We start from the raw sequence: 25,145 nt of genomic DNA, 5'->3' as shown, positions 1-25,145 counted from the left end.
GACTTCTCCTTCTGTGAAAACACACCTTATCACAGTGGTCCAATTTGTCTTCTCTCACATCTAGACTTTTTTGCTTGGGTCAACAGAAGGGAAACTGGGGCAGCTATCAAGGTTAATCAGCAAGGACCACATGGCACAGAATAGATATTATAATTAATGCATAATTAGGTGACAGATTTAAATAATCAACCATATAAAGTTTAGAAAAGTCACCACATATATTATATGCAATGCTACTCAATTTCACTTTAATATGTACAGATACTCCCTTTGTATCTGAAAGATTTCAAAGGTTGTTTGAAAGCACAGCCCCTTCCCAATCCTGAAATAGTCTCTCTCTTTCTCTCGCTATGCAATGGCCAAGGCACTGTGTTAAAAGAGAATTGTAAAATTGTAGACTCTATGAAGCAATATAAAACACCTTTTAGGAAAAAAAATGTGGTATTCTCCCTCCCTAACCTCATCAAGAATTAGTCAATTGTTTTGAATAATGCAGCTACTATTTTTTGCTTTTGGACACCACATACCTTTATTGGTAGGCTGGTTTCTTTTATTATGACTTTGGTCCATCCAGGATAGGTCAAGAGGTGTGTTGGCCTAGGGATGAAGGAGGAGGACTGGGATCTTCCACTTAAATGATTAAAATAAATATCTAGGACAACTAGGTCCTGGGTGTTCTCACGAGACAGGAAGAGTGCAGGGTGTCCTTGTAGGGGGAGGGAGGTAGTGAGCAGCTCCAGGAGGGTACGAGGATGGAAACTCCACCTCTGGGAAGGAATCCCAGGGCAGTGGGTCCTGGCTAGTCAGGGAGACCTGCGGAAAGCAGTGGATGTGAGGATGCTTAGTCCTCATAGGTGGAAGGGACACACTGGGGCCTCCTTGGTGCCTCTGGGGGACCCACTGTCCAAACCACCAGGGGATAGGGAAGTGAGCTGACAGAGGGTCCCGATGCCCCCATAGTAGGAAGCAGGGGCATCACAGAGGTGACACTGAGGAGCAGGCTGCTGCAGGTGCAGATCTGCAGAGACACAGAGGGATGCACAGAAACAGTGAGGCCAGGTCAGGGTCAAGGTGGGCAGGGGGACACGGGCACATGGGCACAAGGTTCTATTATCACCCATAGCAAAATCCAAATTTTAGCAGCCATACAGGTCTACAGCGGATGTAGGAGGAGCTTATGATGAGGGGAGAAAAGGGTGGTTGTTGCAGAGATGAGCAGAGACCTCCTGAACCTGGATCTGTGAGAGGACCAGGACTCCTCTCACCCCCGTGAAGACACAGCTTGGGTTCGTTCCTTAACCCAGGATGTTCACAGATGCATGTTAGCCAGCAGAACAGGGCTGAGGCTGGGAGGAGAGCCTCAAAAGACCTACCCCGCAGACAGGGAGCTAAGCTAGATCATGGGATTGGATACTTTTAATTACTGGCGATCAAAGGCCTGTTCCTAACACACAAGAATCCATGAGAATGATGCCCTGTGAAGTTTAGACCAGTCATGGAAATCAAAGATAATGGGATTCCTTTTCCTTTTATTATTTTCACCCAAGAGCTTTAGGGAATATGTCTTTATCCCACTCCAAAGGATCTTCTCCATATGATGCAGGAAAGAGCCCGGAGTTGGAAGTCTGGAGCCCAGCTGGCTGCATGACCGTGGGCTCATCATGATCTTGGGGCTCCTTCTGCCATCTCCCGAGTCCACATGCCTGCGTGCCCTCTATTTAAACTAGAAGAGCAATCGGTGTCTCATGATAGTGCTTCCATGGATGTCTTTGGATTCAGATGCCTAAACCTGAAAGAAGCTTCATGTGTTTGTTTCCACGAACTACAGATGGAAAGGAGACCACTTCATGTTGCAAGTTTTCGTTCTTCTTCCTCTTATCTGATGCTACTGAAAACGAACTCCCATAAAGGGGAACCTTCTTCCATTTATGCCTAGAAAAATCAAAATCTGTACATTTGAGGAATAACAACAAGCCCTATAAATCAATTAAAAAATGAACTATTTAACTTATTTATTTTTTGGCTTTTGATGCTACTGTCTTTCACAGTATAGTGAAAGCAGCTTAAACTTCAGCATGAGACATGAATTTGATTCTTGGCTTCATCTCCAACAGAAGATAGGACTTTGTACTCTGGTTCTTTATTTTTTAATGAGTAATAATTCTGTCCTCACAGGAATGTTTTGCACACAACCTTCCTAGTAATAATCAATTACAGAGAGAAAAATAATGGTAGTGGGGAAACTGGGCAACCTCCCTAATGAGTCATCAAAGTTAACATCACCAGTTAGGGGACGAGTCAGTGTCACCTGTGCCCTGGCATAAGCACTGCCAACCTCTCCTCTGGGGTGTTCCTGCTAAAAATGCACAGCCCAGCTCTGACCAGGAGGAAACATCAAGAAAATCCTGCAAAATACCTGGTGTGCCCACTACGAAATGTCAGTGTCTTAAAGAGATTGAAGAACCAGGCCAGATTAAAGGACATTTAAAAGAAAGGCAAAATACTGAGTTACTTGTTTGTTATCCTAGACTGGATCTTGCACTGCGGACAGGGAAGAGTGGAAGGTTAATATGTGTGTGTGTGTGTGTGTGTGTGTGTGTGTGTGTCTGTGTCTGTGTGTGTCTTAGCTATAAATGCCGTAATTGGGACAAATGGTGAAATTTAAATAAGGTCTATAGAATGCTTAGTAGTGTATCAGTATATTTCCCTGATTATTGTAAATGTATTTATATTACATAAAAATTTCTGGCTTTGGGAAATATATGCTAAAGAATTTAGGGGTAAAGAGGTACCATGTCTGCCACTTGCTGTCAAATGGATCAGCAAGAACAAAAATTAAACCAAACCTTATCTGTGTGAGTGTGTGTAGAGAGAGAGGGAACTCCCAAGTTCTCTCACCATCTTTGGGTGGTAAAATATCAACATTTGAGGAATATGTGTCTACAAAAATTCTTTGTCCTAGTCTTGCAAGTTTCTTGTAAGCCTGAAATTAAAACAAAAAGGCTAAAAAAGTCACGACACATCTGAGATAAGTAGCAATACCATGTATTATAGGATACCCTTTCTTGTGTAGCAGGCTGGCTGCTTTGCGCTAGTTGCATTACTCCTTTATGATTACCTTTGAGTAGACCAGTAAACCTTCAGTAATGTGTTAGTGATCATGATGTAGCCAGGTTATACAAATCTTTTTAATAATTTGCCCCAAACCAACCCTACTCCAGGAAAGCTGACAAAAATCAGTCTGCTCTCCTCCCCTCTACCGACTGCTGTGACTTACTATGAAGGCTACTTTCAGTGTTGGTGAAAAACCAGAGACACAAAACCACTCAGCAACTCAGAGCAGGGAGGATGTGTGTAATTTTCTTATCTGCGGAGCTGTGCCTTTCCAAATGATATCTGAACAGTATCTCCATTTACGGTCCTGTCTCAATGTTTCAACGTGCCATCCTGTCCTCAAAGAAGAAACACTTTTGCCTCCTGTGATTGAACCACTTGTTATCAGGCAACATAAGAGTGCCCATCATTACCCAGAGTCCAGCCCGGAGTCATGTAGAGGCGCATCTGCCCTGCGGGGTCCTATTAATGCCCAGTGAGGCACAGAGTGTGTAAGCATAATGTGGCCATGTGACTGCTGCACAAATTAAATGTTAGAGACAAAAACTGCTGCCTTTCATTTGAAGCAATTTGTCTGTTTCACTTCCGTCTTGAAATATATAAAACCAGAAGGAGGTTTTCATAATGCAAGCTTGATGTAACAACAAAACTGTGATTTTTAAAACGTTTACTGAAGTCACTGCACAATTACATGTACATACCATGATACCTTGTGTTTCGGTAGTGACTGTCCTCTGTCACAAACCCACCATTTTTTGGTACAAACATCAGCGTCCTGCTCTTCTAAAGGAAAGTCCACTTTGGTTATTTGGACCCAACATATGTGTCCATCAGATCTCACACTCCTGGACCAAAACTCAATGGCTTCAGAGGGCAGGCCACGGATCAGGATGGCCAGAGGATCAAACACTGCCACAACCTGTCTGTCTCTCCATTTGCTCATGTCTGAAATTTCAAAGACAGCGCCGCTCCTGCAATGTAAGTCTATCAGAGCTTTCCATGCTGATATCCCCTAGAATAATACTAATAACTCATGCATGACTGTTTTGAGAGGTGTATGGTTAGGTAAGTGCAGAGGGGAGGGGAGAAAATGCCCCTCCCAGGTGGAGATGGATATAGACTTGCCTGACTGCCTCGATTTTGGTCTCCCCTGAAGGGCTGTCATGGCTCCTGGTGGCAGGCGTGCTATGGATCAGTTTTTCCCTCTGCTGAATCCTGCACCCTCACTTCCCTAAGCAGGTGACTCCCGAGGGCAATCTCCAGCAGTCCTCTCCATATGGCCCACCAACTCAGTCCATTAATATTTTCAGGGAACTCAATCTGAGTAGCTTCTGTCCCTCGGGCCACACCCTGTCCTCTCTACTTCTATTGTTGATCTTGATGAGTTTCCTTTCTTTGCTCTCCATTCTAGTCTTAAGATTTTCATGATTCCTGTGGCCAGCTGCACCTGGAATCCTCCTGGGTGGGACTTCCTGGTGGCAGGGACTGGCCTCCTTCCCCATTTCTGACCCCTTAACATATAAAGATCTTGCCCAACTTAGACCATGAGAAACACATGATATTCCTGCTTATTTCACCTGCAAGAAGGAGAGCAGACTCCTATATGACAGAGAGAAATGTGCCTTTGCAGTGTTTGTGGAGGAGGTCTGAAATGTGGGGATGTTGAGTCCCCTTCCAGCAAATAGGGACAGCCTCTTTTGGGGGCCAGAAAGAGCACAAACTCAGGAGGATACAAATTGTAATGAATTATGTACCAGTTTCTAAGCCCTTAAAATTGAAGTTATTGCAAACATTTCTATAATTTATATCAATTTACAGTATGGTATTCTTTTCCTAAGTGGTTGCTTATCAATACAATTGCTATTTTTCACCTATGTACTTTCTCGTCCCTGGGAATCTTGAAGAATGAAGCATTATGTTTGGCAGATGAACAACTTCTGATGCACCCTTGTTTGGAGAGATGCTCCCTTGAAGAAATGATATCTGGCTCTAAAATCTCAGGTGGACAGGTAAGCCCTAGACGGTTAGAAGCCATGAGAATAACTTAAACCTGAACATGATGTTGCCTCTGAGTAAAAGGCTCCTGGGGGAGCATCGCAGCATGCTGAGCAGAGTGTTCCTGGTGAAAAAATCCCAGTTCCTTTCATATGGTGAAATCACAGAGAAAAACATTTTTACCATGTGTATATTTTTCATGTTTTGAAACACTGGATGCAAAGCCAAAATGCTACATCAAAGGGCTTTCAGTGTAGTTTTTTGCTAAAAACTAGTCCTTTGAAAACCTCTGCTTTTGCAGAATTATAAGGTCACAGCATTTTGATTTTCATTCTTGGTATCTTCCAAAGAACATCTTCACAGGCTGATTCAAACCTCAGCACCATGTTTAATTAGACAACTGAACCTCCCAGACAAATCTTGCTGGGATACTTGCTGCATGCAAAAATTCACTCTTGGTTGAACCTACCATCTGGATTCTACATGGTCACCTAATTCTGTCACTGAAGTGAAATCAGCTTCCTGGTATTTCTGATCATGAGCAAAACAGACAGATGATAGTAGAAGGTGTCACTTTGCTACCTTTGCTCCTGTGCTTTTAACATTCTTTTCATACATTTTAATTGAGCCAATTTGAGCTCCTGAAAGCATTCAATAGCTTGGGAGAACATCCAGTCTAGCAAGAAATTCATGCGAACAAATAACAAATCATTCTGAATGATTAACGTGTGTCATTATCATCATTAAATACATTGAGTCCAGAACTAGGAAAACATCATGAGCGTGTGTGGGCAAGATATACATGTATATATTAATTTTTACCTCGGTCTTTTCTCAAAAGTGAATAAAAAGGAGGTTTATCAGATTATCTTTAAAGGGACTATTGAACATCAGCTAAATAAATCCTAATATTTAAAGACACAGATTACAATAATTTCAGAAATGTTGGAATTACAGACCTAATGGGAAATCTTGTAATGTGGCTTAATTGACACGTCGTGTTCTGTTAGCCTGACTCCAGCTGACAGCCAGATTCAGAAACATAACAGAAAGCAAGTGACATTTCTATAAGAACAGATTAGCCCGAAATAGCTGCTTGTCCTCTCATCCTTAAAGACTGTTGACCACCCACCCTCATTAAATGTTAGTGTGCTTATGCCTGGTCCTGGGAAACCTCTCCCTGGGCTCTGAGCCAACAGGCGAGGTCTCCAGTCTTCTCTGGCAGGGGAGCTCAAGGGGGATGAAAGGCATGCCATCTTACTCCTCTGGTGGTTGCTAAAGTCAATTTCATGGGACGTTTACCCAGGAAAATAATACTATTCCTTTCATGCTGTCCTCTGGAATAGAATGCTGTTTGAGGAGAACACCAAGGCAGTCCTGAGTCTCAGGGCCTTAGCGTCATCCTGGGAAGAAGTTAATTCAGAATCCCAAGGCCACATTGGCTTGGTCCTGCCTCCAAGATACCATTTGGAAAAGAGACCGCAGCACCCAAGACCCAGAAATGTGTTATGGTGGGTCACTTGAGAAGGTTTGCTCCAGTGGCCACCGCATTCACAACTCCAAGTGCTCTGCTAAATCCTCCAGCTCAAAGTGCCACAAAGACACACTCCCTTCACAGTTCCACTGTCACTAAGAAGTACCCTGCTCTCTCGTGCCCCATACAGCCAGGAAAGCTAAACGCCACAGCCATGATGGACCGCAGGCACTGAGGGCCTGCCCCTTGCCAGGGCTTTGCTATGAGTGGTCACAGCTGACTGTGTCTCAGCCTCACACGGGCCCCTCAGTCCTTTACCATCTCCCTTTCTCAGTTGGGGAAACTAAGGCCTCCAGTCAGTCACAGAATAAGTCTGCCAGGCTCACACTGCTCATGAGAGGTAGAGCTCAGCTGTGAATGTGAGAGCTGGAACTCAAGTCCCCCACTCATGGCCAGACAGTGCCGTCAGAGAGCATCCCACAAACTCATCAGGGAGCCAAAAGTTCTTGGGCTGGGAACCTGCCTGAGGCAGACAGGTTAACACTAATGTGGGAACCCTTGAGCTTCCCAGGGTCATCTTTGCAGCAGGAGTCCAGTTTTGGCAGAAAGGGGCTGCCCTTGCAGATCTTATGTAGAGGCTGCAGGGGAGCAGGAGCAGGCTGGAAGGGGAGTGTCCAACCCAAGGACACACCCAAGGGCAAGGTTCCAGACAGAGGTCGGGCACCTCATCCCGGCCCATCTCGGATTGGGGAATGCTCTTGAGGTCTTTGGACAGCCATGGGTTGTCTATTAGGAATTATTCTCCACTGGTGATTCATGCTGATAAAATCTCCATCTCCTGCAGTCTCATTAAAGCAAGCACACACTCAGAGAAGTGTGTTTCTGGTGGCCCATGAGTTTCCCAGGTAAAATACAGGGCTCCATAACTCCCAGATGGAGAGCAGCTGGTTATCTTTGCCCAGGAGATCTCCAACACAGGCCGGGGTCGCGGCCCATTCCACCCGACCTTGTCAAGTCCTCCCTTCTGTCCATGCTTGGAATCCAGTGCCTCAGGCAGAGTGGGGCCACCTGAGAGGGCTACTCGTGCTGGATGAACACTGTGTGTGTCTAAGTCTGTTTACAGGGTCTCCCCAGCCATAGCCCTTGGAGAAGCTTCCCTGTCCTCCGCAGGGCCTGGATGTCACTGCCTCCCTGTTGAGATTGTCTAGTGAGTCCCACAGTATTTGCTTCTCTTCCTGCAGCACTCCTGACCCAGTGCACTGTGGCCTGAAAATGCTCCCTTCTGACTCTTGGAGGCTGGGCTCAGTGTCCCTCTGTCCCCAAACCTTCACACAGGGCTCAATGTGTAGTTGGCACTCAAAAACCACATGTTCAATTGAGGAACAAAGTAGGTAAGTTAAACAAACAAACAAACAAGAAAAACGTATATGGAAATATGTGTATCAGAACTAAATCAGAGAACTTGAAAGTTTTAAAAAGATGTTCAGATAAACTTGGCATGACTTCTCTGGGTTATGTAAGCTTCTGCTTTGAATCTGTCTTACAGCAAGGAAGATGCATGAAAATAGAAGATATCTATGTAACGTTCAAAAACCGCAACATGCCATTTGCCTACGGCGACTTATGGAAACGTTTACAAAAACATTTTGATGGGAATGCGTACACTGAGTATGCCAGTCATAAAGGTGCTTTTCTTTTTATTTAATTTTATGTTCTGTTATGTTCTTAATCATGAGGCTAGATTGCCAATGTTTGTTTCCTTAGCTTCAAATCAGAATTTATAATATCCTGGATGATATATAATTGTACTGTTCATCCTAGCTTTGTTTTATGTTTAACTCAATCACTTTCAAAATAAAGAACTGAATAAATATATCTCTTCTCATTAAATTAAGTTTTAGTCACAGACCATTGTGGAAAATACTAAAATCTGAATAAAATCAAACACACCACAAAAAAGAGGGACATAGAACAATAAGCAATAAAAGGAACATATTTCATTTTTAATGACATAACATTTTAAGCAAAGCAGCTTGTGCCTGCAAGCGAGCTGGAGGAGCAGAGACAGGGGCAGGTCTCCCCACCGTAGCGGGGAGGGCACCCCTCCTTCCCACCCGGCCTCAGGCAGCTCAGCCGCCCTGCATGTAGTCAATCTTGGTGCAGTGGGAGACCTGACAGGGGCCTGAGGCCGGGTGGCCTCCCAAACCTGGATAGGAGAAGGGAGAGGCCACCTTAGGGGTACCCCTCTGCAGCTTCACCCCCAAAACTTGTCCATAAAAGGAGCCTGCAGTGCAGGCAGCCACCAGAAGGTGTCACTGCGGCTCTTGCGCTGAGCCTGCGTTCGCCCCGCCGGGTCCTCCCCAGGGAAAGCCTAGATCCTCTTACCAGGACCCCCGGGAGAAGCGCCCTCTGCACTGCCGGGGCCCACTGAGCGGGCATTGCACGGAGCTTCAGGGTGCTCAAACCAACAAGCTCCCAGAGCACACAGCAACCAGGCCCTCCTACGTAGGGAGAAAGGCAGAAAAACAAAAAGCCCTTGCTTTTCGGGGGCACACCACTTAGCCCATAGAAAGAGCTTGATCTGTGTGTTTGAATATGGAACGCATCATTTCTTATGCAGTACTTTCTCTGGGCGTTCCTTAAATGTTTGACCTTTCTCTCATTTATCACATATCATGTGCTCCTACACAGCATTCCTTTTTGGATCTCGGTGGAACCCGGCAGGAAGGACGGAATAAGGGGCTTCCATCAGACCTGCTAGGTGAGGGCAGAGCCTTCTCCTACGTTGGCAAGCAGTGTGTCACCCCTAATCTCACCCTCATGACTTACTGACCATGCCACCAGCCCTTCTCTCTGCACTTCCCTCCCCGTCTTGACTCAGCAGCATTTGCATAGGAATAACGTTTCTTAGAGTTGGGAAGGAGAGACCTTCTGACAGAGAAGCCCCCAGAGCAGATTTGCCAAAGGATTTAAAATGAATCCATAATATTCATCCATAATTATCCTTAAATCTTGGGTGCTGAAGGACAAAGCTTCGTGTATGAAATAGCATTTTCACTCGTAAGAGCAACAAACTATGGTTATTTTCAGACTGGGGTGTTTGGTAGCCATTTTCTTGAAAATGAATGGAGTCTGTCACTTCTAAGAAAACAACTGGCAGTATTTGTTGCCAATACTAAAAGTCGAGATTTCCAGTGGAAATTGGAATTTTGGAAAGCTCGTATCCACCTTCATGAGTCTGGTAGCTTCTCAATATTTAAATACTTTTCTAACACAATTGGTTGGGAGACTAATAAATGTGGTTTTTGTAATATCGTGTCAACATTTGGATGATCAGCATAACTCTGTGAACCAATATTTTCCAATGCCTGAAGTTACAAATTCATGCATGGGTAAAAGGTACATTTAAAGTACAAGATAAACCAATGTTTGGGAAGGTAACAAGATATGAATAGTATAGAGTTTCAGGTTCCACATTAGAATTAAACTCCAAGAAACTGCTAGTTGTTGAGTTTGATGTGATGTCAAGGAAGAGTATGCATCATTATCTGAAAAGTCTAATAAAATCACCATCCATTTTCATATCCAGCTCAGGGTAAATTTCCTTCACAGAAATTACATGTTGCAACAGATTGAATGCGGAAGCAGATATGAAAATCATCTGTCTTTTATTGAGCCAGACATTAAAGATATTTGCAAAAATGTAAAACAATGTCACTGTCCTTACTAAATTTTCTTTTTGGGTGGTATAATAGAGTTATTTTTTTAGAAATGTGTCACTTATGTAGGCTTTTTATTATATTTAGATTAATCAATAATACATATTTTTGAATGTCTAAGTTGAAATTTTTAATATAGTGAATAATGATAGAGATAATCCACATAAATAAAAGTTTTGGGTGGTGTTCCAATAATGTTTAAGAGCCTTGTGTAGGACTGAGAGCATTTCTGCAGTATTTGTGTGTCCACAGACCAGTAGCTTTACATCTTATACTACGTCAATTTACCCACTTGAATTTCATGGCTGCTAATGTAGATTCTATTGAGACTCAGTGGATCTTAAGAAATTCAGTTACTCACTAGGAATGGTTCCACTGGCAGAACAGGGAGGAAGTGCAAGAAGGGCTAGTCTCTTCTCAGTGTTGGGGAAGACAGAGCGACAGGATGGGTGTTAAAACACAATGAGAGGCGCCGTGATCACAAGGGTAATTTTTATATTGGAGTGCAGCCCAATGCAGTCCCCTTTTAGAAGTCTAAAAAACTGGGTCTAATTAAACTTCCTACTGTTGGTGATCATTTATTTTTATGACATTCTATTATGAAAATTCCAAATATACAAAAAAGGTTGAAAGGATTTTATAATGAACACTCATTATAGAATGAACATCACCTAGAATTAACGTGGTGAAATATTTACTTCATTGCTTACCTGCAGACATTAAATAAACCTATAGGGTTATGTGACTCTTGCTGTGGTCTAATTGCATGCATCACTCAACCCTGTATCAAGAAACCCCTTCCATCTCAATGAAATGCAAATCCTAAGCATCATGTTCAAAGTGGGCAGCCTACTGTTTTTGTGTGGGTACACCAGGATTTATTTAACCCATTTCTGACTGTTGACTGTTTGGGTTGGTTAAACTCTTTACTAATTTGATAAACATTGAGGAGCACCTGTTTTTCCTTAACAATGATCCTTTATTTTCCTTCTTAGACTTATAGGATTAAATCTAAGAAGCAGAATTCTCTAGAGTTTCTCTTGTGTATAGTGGCAAGTTCCATCAACAGCTTTTCCTTTGCAGACTGAGCCTATATGTAGATGTTGGGGAAAAGATGGAGATTAGTCTGAAGAGAAGAGCCGAGGGACCATGTTAGCTCCTTTCTGATATCCTGCCATATAGTACATTCTCAAAAAATAGCTGCCAAAGGAATGAATAACGAATGTTGAGGCCCAGCGGGAGATGTAGGCTTATCCCTGGAATCACTGATTCAAAGAATGAGAATCACAGAGTTGTGAGAGGTCAACTTTGGTTACACATGAAGACCTCTCTCCCCACCCCCTACCCTTCCCTCATATCTTTGTTTTTTCTTCCAGGTGGCACTGTTTTTTGAAATTATCATGGAAATCAAAGGTGAAGTGTAATTTGTTATAGGACTATAAAATTAATTATGATGAATACACTTTCTGAATCACTGATACTCTTTTTTAAAATAGCAGCTTTATTGAGCTGTAATTCACATACTATAAAGGTCGCCCTTTAAAAGTAGACAATTTGGTGGGTTTCAGTAACAATCTAATTCCAGACCTTTTCCATCACTCCAAAAAACAACCCTATCTGTGCCTTTTAGGTATCATTCCCCATTCCCCAATCCCAACCCCCGGCATTCACTAATATACTTTTTTTCTCTATGAATTTGTCTATTCTAGGTATTTCATATAAGTGGAATCATACTGTCCTTTAGTGTCTGGTTTTTTCACTTTGCATGGTTTCCAAGTTTATCTATGTTGTAGCATCTGTTTGAATTTCCTTCCATTTTAAGGCTGAAGAATATTCATTGTATGTCCAGACCACATTCTATTTACCCATTCATTAGCGATAGACATCTGGGTTTCCCCCCACTTTTTGTATATTATGAATAATGCTGCTATGCACATTCATGTACAAGTTTTTGTGTAAATACATGTTTTCATGTTTTCCCTGCTATATACTTAACATTTGAATTGCTAGGTTACATGGTAACTCTATGCTTTACTGTTTGAGGAACTGCCAAACTGTTTTCCGAAGTAGCAGAACCACCTGACATTTCCACCAGCAAAGTGCTTGCTCTCTATCATCACCAACACTTGTTGTTATGGTATCTTTTGTGTTATAGCCATCCTAGTGGGTGGGAAGTGGCATCTCATGTGGGTTTGATTTTACATTTCCCTCATGACCTATGGTGCTGGGCATTTTTGCTTGTGCTGATTGGTCATTTGTATAACTTCTTTGGAGAAATGTCTATTCAAACCCTTTGCCCATTTTTAATTACCTTATGTTTGTTTTTATTGTTGAGTTGCACACTCACATGCTTTAATTCTCCCTCTTTCCATGGTCTGTTCATTTACAGGAAACAGATCCATTTGAGGTTACAGACTAAAGATCACTAAGCAGCTCTCATCTGGTGGTACATATTGAGACATGAACAGTCTAAGAGATAAGCAGGTGTGGCTCATCGGAAGGCAGCTGAGACAGGCCTTTAGCTGCCGGCAATGGCCAAACACCCTGGGTCTTCCTGGCACCACACAACTGAGTTTTGTTGCCCTCTCATAATTATTGGCAGAGCTCTCTCCTTCTCAATGATCCTCCGATTAGAACCAGAAAGCACATATCACACAGGTCCTGGGCATGAACAGAGAATGGCCTGACATCAAATGTTCATTTAGGAATCTTTAAAAAATCACCTAGACTTTGTACTGAGCATGTGGTGCTGAATGTAGCAGCTGCAGCCACTGAACTTTGGGAGCTTTTGTCTAGTTAATGAGACTCTTCCATAAGATTGTGATAGACATTGAGCTTGTGGGAATTGAATCATACTTTAAATGCATGTGAGATATCCACTCACATAACAGAACCTTACAGTAAACCTGCTTGTTGAGTTCCTACAGTAGTCTCTCTGGTTGTGGCATACTGCTACTGCAACCCATAAAAATCAGAAAATGCATCAGCATTTCTTAAATCTCCTCCTGGTGCTTCTCAGTGCAGCTAAGTGCTCCTGCCCTTCCTCAGGCCCCTGGTGAATGCTCAGCTTTCAAGCCCTGCATCCACACACAGGCAGTGCCACCCACACGGGGACTTGGACTGTTAAGATTGGGGACGGGTGGTGCCCTTGCAGTTCCATAGCCATGTAGGCATGGGTCAAGTCATATTCCATTAAGCATAGTCAGAATGTTGGCGAAGGATTTGCTTTTGTTGATTAGAAATGATTCAGGGTGTGGCAAGCCCTGCACTCCACTGAATTCCATCCTGCTCTTCTGAGAAGGTGAGAAGGAGGTACGCAGGGGCTTGCAGCATTCCCATGGTGATAATTGCACAAATGATAACTCACAAATGCTGTCAGTTTTCTATGTGTGAAGAGTAGCTCACCATGCTACCTGGGCTTGATAAACTTCATCCTTCTAGTATTACCATAATTTTTCAGGCTATGAGACGAAGGCTTAGAGGGTAAATTCCCCAAAGGCATCCAGCTTCTTAGTCGGTACAGGCCTGGATCTGAGCCAAAGTGATGACTGTGCAATCAGCCAGCTACCTCATCAAGCCCTTCCTCCCTCCCTTCTTTCTTCCCTCCTGAGCCCTTACAGAGCCAGGCATTGCCCCAGGGGCTGGAGGTGCAGGAGAGAGCAAAGAAAACTCCTTGTCCTTATGGTGCCCCATGGGGTGGGAGAGGCAATGAACACAGAAACTAGACCATGCACAGCATCTCAGAGAAAATGGAGTCCAGGGCTGAGGAGCGGGTACTAGTTTACACAAAGAATCTGGGAAGACTTCTTGGATATGGTTACTTTGAAGCCAAGATCTGGAGAATGATTGAAAACTACGCACATACTGGCTGGGCACCACGGCTCACCCCTGTAATCCCAGCACTTTGAGAGGTGAGGTGGGTGGATCACTTAAGGTCAGGAGTTCGAGACCAGCCTGGCCAACACGGCAAAACCCTATCTCTAATAAAAATATGAAAATTAGCCAGATGTGGTGGTGCACACCTGTAGTCTCAGCTACTCGGGAGGCTGAGGTAGGAGAATTGCTTGAACCCCGGAGGCAGGGGTTGCAGTGAGCTGAGATCGTGCCATTGCACTCCAGCCTGGGCAACAGAGCGAAACTCCATCTCAAAAATAAATAAATAAATAAATAAATAAATAAATAGAAAGAAAGAAAACTATGCACACATCTATGGGAAGAGGATTTCACCGGTGTAAGAGAAGAGCTGCTGCAGGGTCCTGAGGCAGGCATGCCCAGCAAGTGTAGGACACACATGCGCCCTGTGGCTGAGCCTATGCAGGAGCAAGCAGAGTGGCTAGGCAGGTACTGGGAAGCCTTGGGGCCATGGTTAGGACTGGCCTTTTGTTCCCAGTGAGATGGAGATTGGTTACAGGAACACAGCTGACCAGTGTGTCTACTCTGATGAGAACAGTGTGTAGGTGCCCAGGTAGGGGCAAGAGGGAACTGCCAGGGTCCCTACAAAGACAGTGAGGGAGGGAAGGAAAAACATCAAGGACAATTCTCAGGTCTGCAAAGGAGGAGTTTTTGTGTAATAAAAAGGGAAAAGAACATGAAGGAACACAGAAGTCGGGAGGTTTGTAGACGTCACACTTCAAATACCTAACACCCAACCATCAAACGATCCACTCGCTTTCAATGGCTCATTGTCAGCAATCGTGATGATAAGATAATGCAGATGCAATGACTTACCAAGTGAGCATGTGCTGGAGTCTTATTTTACGCCCCCCATAGTCCTATGAGTTAGGTGTTGCTATACCTGGGCCCCATATTGCACCCTCCACCTTGCGCTATATCACCCCATGCATCTGCGTGAAACGTGGCATATGGGGAAGACACTGAGCTCCTTTCTCAAGCACAATCCTAGGGACCAATAACCAAGACCGATATCACCCAACGGTTTGGTATGTGGCTGCTGCCTTGGCAGGGGGCTTCCTTGGCCTGCCTCCCCGGGGCAGTGTGGGGTGGTGTGAGCGCCTGTCCCACAGGTCGGACAGAAATAGCACCTGAACAGCAGGCGGCACAGTTCCTCATCCAGACACACTGCCGGCCCCTGTGTTCTCATTCCTAGGATCCAATTCTCGAATCTTTTTCGTACTAATTAGAAGACTATCAATCTGCTTGGCTCACCCTGGATTTACATCTTGTGGGATTTCCTGGGTTATTTTTCTAAGCTTCAGCTAACGGAATAAGAGAAATTGGCAGAGATCCCACCCCATCACCCCTTGAAGTGTGCGGGGGATAATCGTGCTCTCCCTGGGTCCTCTTCCTCTCACTATGGGTCTGGATTTACGCTGTGAACAGTGAGCGCGAGACGGAGATTAGCTGAACGGTCTGGCAGAATCCCTACACTGCCACGCAGTCTTAAAAGGATCCAAGATACACACAAACACACACACCATACACAAACACACACACCATACACAAACACACAATACACACATCATACATACACACACACCATACATACACACATCATACACACACATGCACCATACACACACACACGATACACACATACCATACACACACACACTATACACGCATACACCATAAACCCACACATCATATATACACACACACACCATACACACACATTATACAGACATACACCATACACACACGATAAACACACACCATACACACACAAACACACACACACTATACATACATACACCATACACACACATCATACATACGCACACACCATACACAAACACACCATACAAACACACACACTATACACACATACACCATAAACACACACATCATATATACAGACACCATACACACAAACACACACTATACAAACACCATAAACACACTCATACATACACACATATATATACACACACACACAAATACCCCATACACACACACAGACCATACACACAAACACACACAAATACCCCATACACACACACAGACCATACACACAAACACATACCATACACACACATACCATACACACACAAACGCCATACACACACACCATACACACATACACCATACACACACAAACACCATACACACACCAACACACACACAAACACACCATACACACATACCAACACACACACACCATACACACACCATACAAACATACACACACAAACACACACACCATATACACACACACCATACACACATACACACACACAAACACTATACACACATATACCATACACACACACCATACACACACAAAGGCACTCACACATACACACATATACCATACACACACACACCATACACATACACCATACACACAAACACACCATACACACAACATATACACACAAACACACACACCATACACACAAACACCATACACACAAACACACACACCATACACGCACAAACACCATACACACAAACATACCATACATACACACAAATACACCATACGCACATGCACCATACACACACACCATACTCAAACACACGCACCATACACACACACCATACACACACACCATACACACACTATACACACACATACCATACACACACACACACCATATGCACATACACCATACACACAAACACATCATACACACCATACACACAAGTAAATGCATTCACACACCATACACACACAAACACACACCATATGCACACACAGCATACACACACGATACACACACACAAACACACATGATACACACACACAAACACACACGACACACACACACCATTCACAAGGACAAATACATGGCTGCCTGGCTTGATAAAGGGCTGTGGAGACCCTTTGTCAGCCCAGGCCACAAAGCCTGTCTGTCCTCACCTCAGCACTCGCCCCAGGCCAGTGCCAGGTGTCTGCCAGGTCTGGGGCTGTCTTCCTCCCCCATGGCTCTGGGGACTTCCTCACCAGGCTCTCTCCCTCTCCTGGGCCCATCATGCACCGTCCATCCTCCAGCGCTGGCCCTGGTGGTGTTGATGCGCTGGACTCCCTCCAGACTCCCTCCAGACTCCCTGGACGTAGAGAGGAGGGGGTTTCCACACACATCTGGTCATCTGTGGGTAACTGCTCTCCCACGCCTTCGCCATCTGTCCTACCTGCAACTGCACTGCGAACTCCCTGAGGACAGAAGGCTTCTGCTTATACTGAATGTGTCCATTTTTATTTACTGATATCCATTTGAAAAAACAAAGAAACAATTGGAAAATATCGAGTTGATTTTGAACTTTTAATTCAATGGTTCCTCCCAGTGTTGAGTAGTGAGAACACGCGATGAGAAGTCAGAAAATGTGATTTCCCAATTCACAGCAACCACCAGCCAGCTCTGTGGGCCCCATGGAGGCAAATGCAACCTCTCTGAGCCTTCATTTCCCCACGAATGGAAGCGAGTCTCCGAGGAGGTGATCTGTAAGACACCATCAAGCTTGAAACTTTTAAACGTCAGCGATATGCATGAAGAGACAATCTGAAGGCCAAGATGGTGGCTGGGAAAGTGAGCAGGGAAGAAAAACGTGATAAGAGTGACAATTTATCTAAATTAGAGATTTTGTGTGTATAAAGGGGAAAACTGCAACCCTAACCTGGTAATCTTTTGGCTACTATTTAAGTAGCCAGAAGTGAGTACCGATGGGAAAGTTAGGTTTTTTTTTGTTATTGTCACTGAAGAAAAAAAAAAGACCTTAGGGCAGTAAAGGATGCAGTCAGGTATGACAAAAAGATAAACATGGTTCTGCAACTTTATAGAGAGCCAGAAAGGACATGTCCCGGGGAGAGAGAATCCAGTGCAACTGCTTTCCCAGAGTCTAGGTTTCTCTAAATTCACAGGCTCTATGAAGCCTCTCAGTTCTCCTCTGTAATTATTTGATAAACTGTGCCTGTGCAAAACTTTCCACAAGGCTGTGGAAGCAGACAGGATTCTGTTATCCTAACTAAACAACAGAGAGATGCCCTTAGGAGGTTTGCAAGGAGAAGGAGACAGAGCAGATGCTTGGCGAGCATGTTCTCTTGCTGGAAGATTCAAAGACAGGGTCGACCCCAGCAGCTTCTGCAGTGTCCCATTGAGAGTGGAAGCCAAGGACACCAACCTTTGTGACTTTTGTGGTTTTCTGTATTTGAGTTAAATAAATTCCCTCTAGATTTTAACCCTAGTCTAGAAGAGTGTCTCTTCGAAGAAATGGCATAATCCCAACCCAGAGGCAATGGTTAAGGCAGACATCACTTCCCCTTGTTCTCTGGCTACTGGGAAATTCAAGCTTCATTTTACGTTCAGGCCCAACTAAGTATAACAAGCCAGAAGCCTGGAATATTTTATGTGTTCTTCTTTACAAGCCCCTATTTCATTTTTTAATTCAATTATATATAATTTATACATACCGTATATATAGTATTTATAAAATGTGTATGTAAAAAAGATATATATATATGTATAAATTTGGTCATTAGCAACTTATTTTATCATTATCCAATCATATGAACATCAAATACTGAAGTCATTTTAACTCCTTCCTCTTTCTTATTTCCTATTCTGTGGCTCACAATTCCTTGTCAATTCCTGCCCATGCTCCCCTCCCACTGCCATTAATAACAACCATCTGACACCAACTGTCTAACTGGTCTATCTGGCTCTATACTGTCCCTCTCCAGTTCTTCCTGTGTCCCACTACACGCTGATTTTTCTCAAACATATATGTGATCCCATCACTTCTTAATTCAAAAGCACCCCACATTTTGCCTTCCCTCTATTTTCCACTGCATACTGCTTAGGAGTTCCTGGGCAGTTCTATCATTTTCTTGCCTCCAAAAACCCCTGCCACTATTCTTGTGTGTCCAATCCTGACTTTAATAACTTAAAATGTCAACTCTTCTCTGATTTCCCATGATAGGAGTAATACCTCCCATCTGAAATGTTAGAGGAAATTTTATTTCCCTTGTCATGGCTTGCATTATTATGTATTAGTATTAGTAGATTATCTGCACTTAATCATTGGAAAGAGGCAAAGTACAGTGGTTAAAAGAATGAGGTCTGGAGCTTGTTTTAGAACCTTGACTACACCCTATGACTCACATAACCTTGAACAAGTTACTTATGTACCCTGAACCTCAGTATCCCTATCTGAAAAAATGAAGAGAATCATAATCCTATCACAGTGGGTTGTTTTAAAGGCTAAATTAGTTCATCAATACACGAATATAGCACTTAAAACTGTCTCAGACTAGTAAGTGCTCAATAAATGCTAGATACTGTTCTTAACTCTTGGTTAGGTACATGACTCTCTTGACCCCGTTTGGTCCTTGAAGACAAAGACCAAGCAGCTTGGTTCCTTCATTGCACCAGCATGAGATTCTTACTGCTTCCAATAATGAGTAGTGTATATGACACCAATTTCAGTCAGCAATCTTTGGTTTCAAGTTTTAATGACACCTGCCTTTGAAAATCTCCAACTCTTTATTTATTTGAGATGGAGTCTCGCTCTGTCACCCAGGCTGGAGTGCAATGGCATGATCTCGGCTCACTGTGACCTCCGCCTCCAGAAATCCCCAGCTCTTAAACATTAACTGTGACTGAAGTGGCATATGCAAGGACTTATGGTATCAAATCTAATATGAAAAAAAGCTTGAAGGTTGTCACACTCATCCTTACAATGAGAAAAAGCTGCACTAAATGAAAATCAATGACTTTTCTTGAACCCATCAGACAACTGCAACCACAGGGAAACCCCCCCTGAAATCTGCAGAGGCAGGTTAATAGAGAGTCACAGCAGGTATCTGTTTACCTGGAGCAGAAGCTGCAGGAGTCATAAGCTGGTAGGAACACTGAAATAATCATTCTGATGAATAGTGGAGGCTGAGTGTGAAGGGGCATGAGACTGAGAAACTTCTGGGGGACAACCACCTCAAGGGGTCCCCCAACACTTTCCTGAGCTTTTCCTCCAGGAATCCTATAAGGTTCTCAAAGTGAAAATGCAAGAAAGATCCCATATTTTCTCTGGCAGGGCTATCTCAGAATTAATCATTGTGAAATACACCAGAGCATTTGCCATAAAAGTGACCTACTCTAGCAGAGAAAGATCTTACCAGAGCCTTATCCCTCCCAGTCAAACTTCCTCTAGCCCTCCTGTTCCACTTAAGGGAGTGGGCATAGTAAGCAGGGATTAGGGCTTCTAGGAAATAGACTGGGGGGCACTGTAGCTGGGAAAGGGAAAAGGAGTAAGGGAGGAAAACCTATGCCACTGAAGAAACTTCTGAAGGCCACAGCCCAGGAAAACAGCTCCACTTAAAGATCAGAGTGCAAATGTAAGATTACAGAACAAACCTCCGTTGGCTCCACCCTAAACCATCACAGCCACAGGGCTCCAGGATAGTAAAGGGGATTAATGCTGGAAGCACTGCAAGATGCAGACTCTATGTGAGGAGAAGTACCTAGGGAAGCCCAAAGTCGAAAGAAGAGAAAAACACAAGGATGCTAGAAAAATATTAAGCCTCTGGCACCCAAAGCTACAGTAGACATTAACCACAGCCCAATTCCTAGTCAGACCAACATGAATTCTCATCCTAATGGACTATTTACCTCACGGTGTGTCTAGCTTTAAAAAACTATAAGGCATGCCAGAAAGACAAAAAGAAACAAACAACAAACAAACAAAAATCAATGTAAAGAGACACAGCAATCATTAGAGCCACATTCCTATATGCCACAGTTGTTGGAATTATTAGACAACCAATTTAAAATTACTGTGATTAATATGTCAAGGGTTCTAATGGAAATAGTAAATAACATGCAAGAGCAGTTAGATAATGTAAACAGAGAGCTGGAAACAAGAAGAAGGAAATGATATAAATGAAAAACTCTGTAACGGAAATGATGAATGTCCTTGAGCAGGAGGGGTCATCAGTAGAATTGACACAGCCAAGGAAAGAACATTGAGCATAAAAATAGGTCAGTTAAACTTCTCAAACAAATAAGGAAAAAAAGCATCAAAAAAAGCAAGACTAGAACATTCATGAACCATGGGAGAATTACAAAAGGTGTAACGTACACATAATTGAAATAACAAAAGGAGGAGAAAAAAGCAGAAGAAATATTTGAAGTATAAAAATAATGGCCAAGAACCTTCCAAAATTAATGACAGACAAAAAAACTACAAAACAGGAAGCCCAGATAACACCATGATTAAAGTAAATAAAGAGATAAATGTAAAATGCAATTAAAAGATCACTTGGTCATACCATATTCACACTGCAGGAAGCCAAAACAGTCAATTTTGGAAAAAGCTGGGGAATGAAGGGTGTAAATTTTAACATTTGAGAAAGAAGAACAAGAATTCAAATGTACTTCTCTTCAGAAACTATGCAAGAAGAGTGAGTGAAATATTTAAAATGTTGAAAGAAAGAAAAAGCTCCAGACTAGAATTCAATATCCAGATAAATTATCCCTCAAAAGAGAAATATAGAATTTCTTTTTCCTTCTTTCTTTTCTTTCTTTCTTTCTCTTTCTTTCCTTTCTCTTTCTTTCCTTTCTTTCTTTCTCTCTCTTCTTTCTCTCTCTTTTTTNNTTTTNGAGAGGGAGTCTCACTCTGTCACCTAGGCTGAAGTGCAGCAGTGCAATCTTGGCTCACTGAAACCTCCACCTCCTGGGTTCCAAGTGATTCTTGTGCCTCAGCCTCCTGGGTAGCTGGGACTACTGAGTGTGCCACCATGCCCTGCTAATTTTTGTATTTTTAGTAGAGATGGGGTTTCACCACATTGGCCAGGCTGGTCTTGAACTCCTGACCTCAGGGGATCCCCCTGCCTCGGCCTCCCAAAGTGCTGGGATTACAGGTGTGAGCCACAGTGCTCAGCCAAAAGTTTCTCATACAAACAAAAACTAAGGGAATTTGTCAAGAGCAGACCTACCCTGCAAGAAATGTTAAAAGAATTTAATCATGCAGAAGAAAAGTGGCGTGCCAGAAACTTAGATCTATATAAAAAAGAAAGGAGTACTAGAGAAAGTATAAAGGAAACAAAATGTATTTCTTCTTTTTCTTCATTTTTATAAAGGATAACTTTGTAAAGTAATAATTATAACAGTGTGATTATAACACATGGATAAGTAAAATAAAGGGCAGCAATGTTGCAGGATACAGGATAAAATAATTAGGAATTCTCTATCCAGGTTTCTGTACTACATAAGAAGCAGTATCATATTATTTGCAAGAAGCCTTTGCTTTGTTAAAAATGTAAAATGTGAACTTTAAAGCAACTACTAATATTTTTATAAGAAGTACAACTGATGTGCAAAGAGAGAAGTTGAAATGGAATCACATAAAATGCTCAATTAAACCAGAAAAGGTTAAAAAATGGAGAGGAAAACAAAGAACAAATGCAAGCAACAGAAAACATGGTAGATATTAATCCAGCTATATTCATAATCACTTTAAGTGTAAATGCTCTAAATATGTCAAATAAAAGACAGAGATTGTCACAGTAGATTAAAATCTTAAAAAGCCCCAACTCTATGTTGTCTAAAGAAACTCATTTTAAACATAAAGACTCAGGCAGGTTAAAATGAAAGGGATAGAGAAATATATACAATGCTAACACTAATCAAAAGTAAGTTAGAAAGCTATATTAATTTCAGACGAAGTGGACATCAGAACAAGGAGGTTTGTCAAGAATAGATAGTGGCCTTACACAATAATAGATGTGTTAATTCTCCAAGAAGACAAAATAATCCTCATCGTGCATGTACCTAACAAAAGAACATTAAAAGACAAGAGGTAAAACTGGAAGAATTGAAAGAGAAATATATATATATATCCACTGTTATACTTAGAGACTTAAACACCCCTCCGAGTAAATACAAAAATTTACTCAGCTACCAAATGGCAGAGACAAGACTAAAATTTAAATTAAAAAAATGGTTTATCAATTGGTAATTTCCCAATTAGTTAATCAACCTACAATCAAAGAGAAGTATACTAATTTGTGGCTTGGTATGCTTGATGTTGGTATGCAAATTTCTTAATTTTTCTAGAATTTGATACAATGATCAAAATAACTTTATTATAAAAATTACATATCCTTACAAAGGTTCTCAGTATTTAATTTAGCTAAATAGAGAGAACATTTCAGATACTGATTTCCATACAATATTAACTTTTCACTGCAACGAGACTTTAGTGAAACTTCTTTAGAAAGACAAGTCAACAGAATGAGCTTGCCTGCACACTAAATAACCAAAAAATATTTATATTGACCTTTACAACCTGCATCATGTCTACAGAGACAAAAATAAAAACAGGTCACCACCTCACAGTGCTAAGGTATTAAGATGATCAAGGAAATCCTTCCTTTAAACCAGGCCTGGGCCTTGGCCCCAGTGTCTCTGATACCCCATATATGCTAGTACAAGAAAGAGTGTGGGGTCAGAATAAGCCTAACTAGGGAGAAAATTCATGCTGCTCCTCACTCCCCAGACCCCTCAGAACAGATCACATTATTCATAAGATGAGGACTGAGATGCTACCCTCGCTGGTTTCTCTGGAAGTACAGCCTTCCACATGAGCTGAATGTCCTCCTTTTTATGCAAGCATCATCCTCAAAGCCATAGTCTCTGCCTTGCTGGCATGGCTGCAACACAAGGGGTGAAAATGCATAAACTTTTCTGATTTTTTCCAGATCCTGGTCATCCAAAAAAAGGAAAGGTGCCTAGAAGTATAGAAGGCAGTCCATCTGGCACATTTAAACATTACCCAAGTCCTCTGTTCTTGCTCCCATAAAAAATAATAATTGGATTGTTTGGCTGTATTCCCAGATAATCACAATCAGTCTAGAATGTGCCTCAACTATGCCTTTTTTAAATTTTGTTTCCTTTTCTTTGAGACACGGCTTTAGAATTTGTTGACGTACCGTGTTCTGAATAGGTAACAGCACATGTCCTCATTAATGAGCTAACCACCCACTTAGTTAAATTGCATTTCCCAAAATGAAGCATTACATGAGTTGCATCATCTTAAGCTATTAACGCAAATGATTTAGCTTAGACAGCCACCTACACATATAAATACCTATTAAGCACCTACTGTGATCGAAGCATTCAGTAGCCCACAGGAGACATGCTCCCTAACCTCCAAAATCAACAAGGCCAAACTTTTTTGAAAATATTGATTGGGTGCATGGAAATAGCAACTTATAACCAAAATACATTGACAGACTTTCTTCCTAATTACAGTAAGGCTGCAGCAGTCCAGCAGGGGAAACTATTTCACTTCCAGATTTCTCATTTCTATCATTTCATGCTGTTAAATCGGCAACAAAGCACAGGTCTGTTTGAGACACACCTGGCTCATGACTGAGGCACTGCAGGGCCAGCCACAGGGACTTCTGCACGCCAAGACAGTCTCGCCCTGCTAGAGCTGCCACGTGGGGGAGGTGCTGGCTCCCAGTCCCCCTTCCTCCCTCCCCTTCGTGTTTCCAACTGTGAATGGTCAGATGAGCCCGAGGCACTGCACAGTACCATCCATGAGCCACCGCGAAGGGCAGGGGAGCTTAAAGGAGAAAAATGTCAAGTTTTAGAGTAGACAGGTAGGGTCTTGGAGATAGTTTTGGTAGCAAGTCTGTTTTGAGAGGTAATTTACTGTATCTTGCTGTCACTTGCTGAGCGCATCCCCTTGGCACTGCCCAGGTGATCCTGGAACCAGCCCTGTACCTTGTGCTTTAAGCTCTGAGCAGAATGGGCAACAACGTGAAGCTTCTCAAGAGTCCAGACTAGGAGGCAGGAGCAGGTGAGGCGGGAGCAACGCTCTGCGTCCAGGAGCCCCTGGTCCAGGTAGAACGGAAGGAGTCAGGACCCAGGAGGCAGCCTCCC

At 42.7% G+C, this 25,145-nt stretch overlaps 1 protein-coding gene across 2 annotated transcripts in view, besides 1 other annotated feature; it reads right to left on the bottom strand.

The window, feature by feature from the left end:
* The window catches only part of GABRG3 (gamma-aminobutyric acid type A receptor subunit gamma3), a 570,804-nt gene that overhangs the window by 174,074 nt on the left and 371,585 nt on the right, over positions 1-25,145 (bottom strand). The window lies entirely within an intron of this gene.
* Positions 8,911-9,411: an enhancer, noted in NCBI's record as "H3K4me1 hESC enhancer chr15:27603646-27604146 (GRCh37/hg19 assembly coordinates)". NCBI's record gives its function as "activates a minimal SCP1, AML or CMV promoter by ChIP-STARR-seq in primed H9 embryonic stem cells {active_cell/tissue: H9 hESC(primed)}" and the evidence as "EXISTENCE:reporter gene assay evidence [ECO:0000049][PMID:30033119]".

The sequence above is a fragment of the Homo sapiens genome, chromosome 15, assembly GCF_000001405.40.
Source record: "Homo sapiens chromosome 15, GRCh38.p14 Primary Assembly".
Classification (NCBI taxonomy): domain Eukaryota; kingdom Metazoa; phylum Chordata; class Mammalia; order Primates; family Hominidae; genus Homo; species Homo sapiens.
This window is presented reverse-complemented; position numbering and strand designations above follow the sequence as displayed.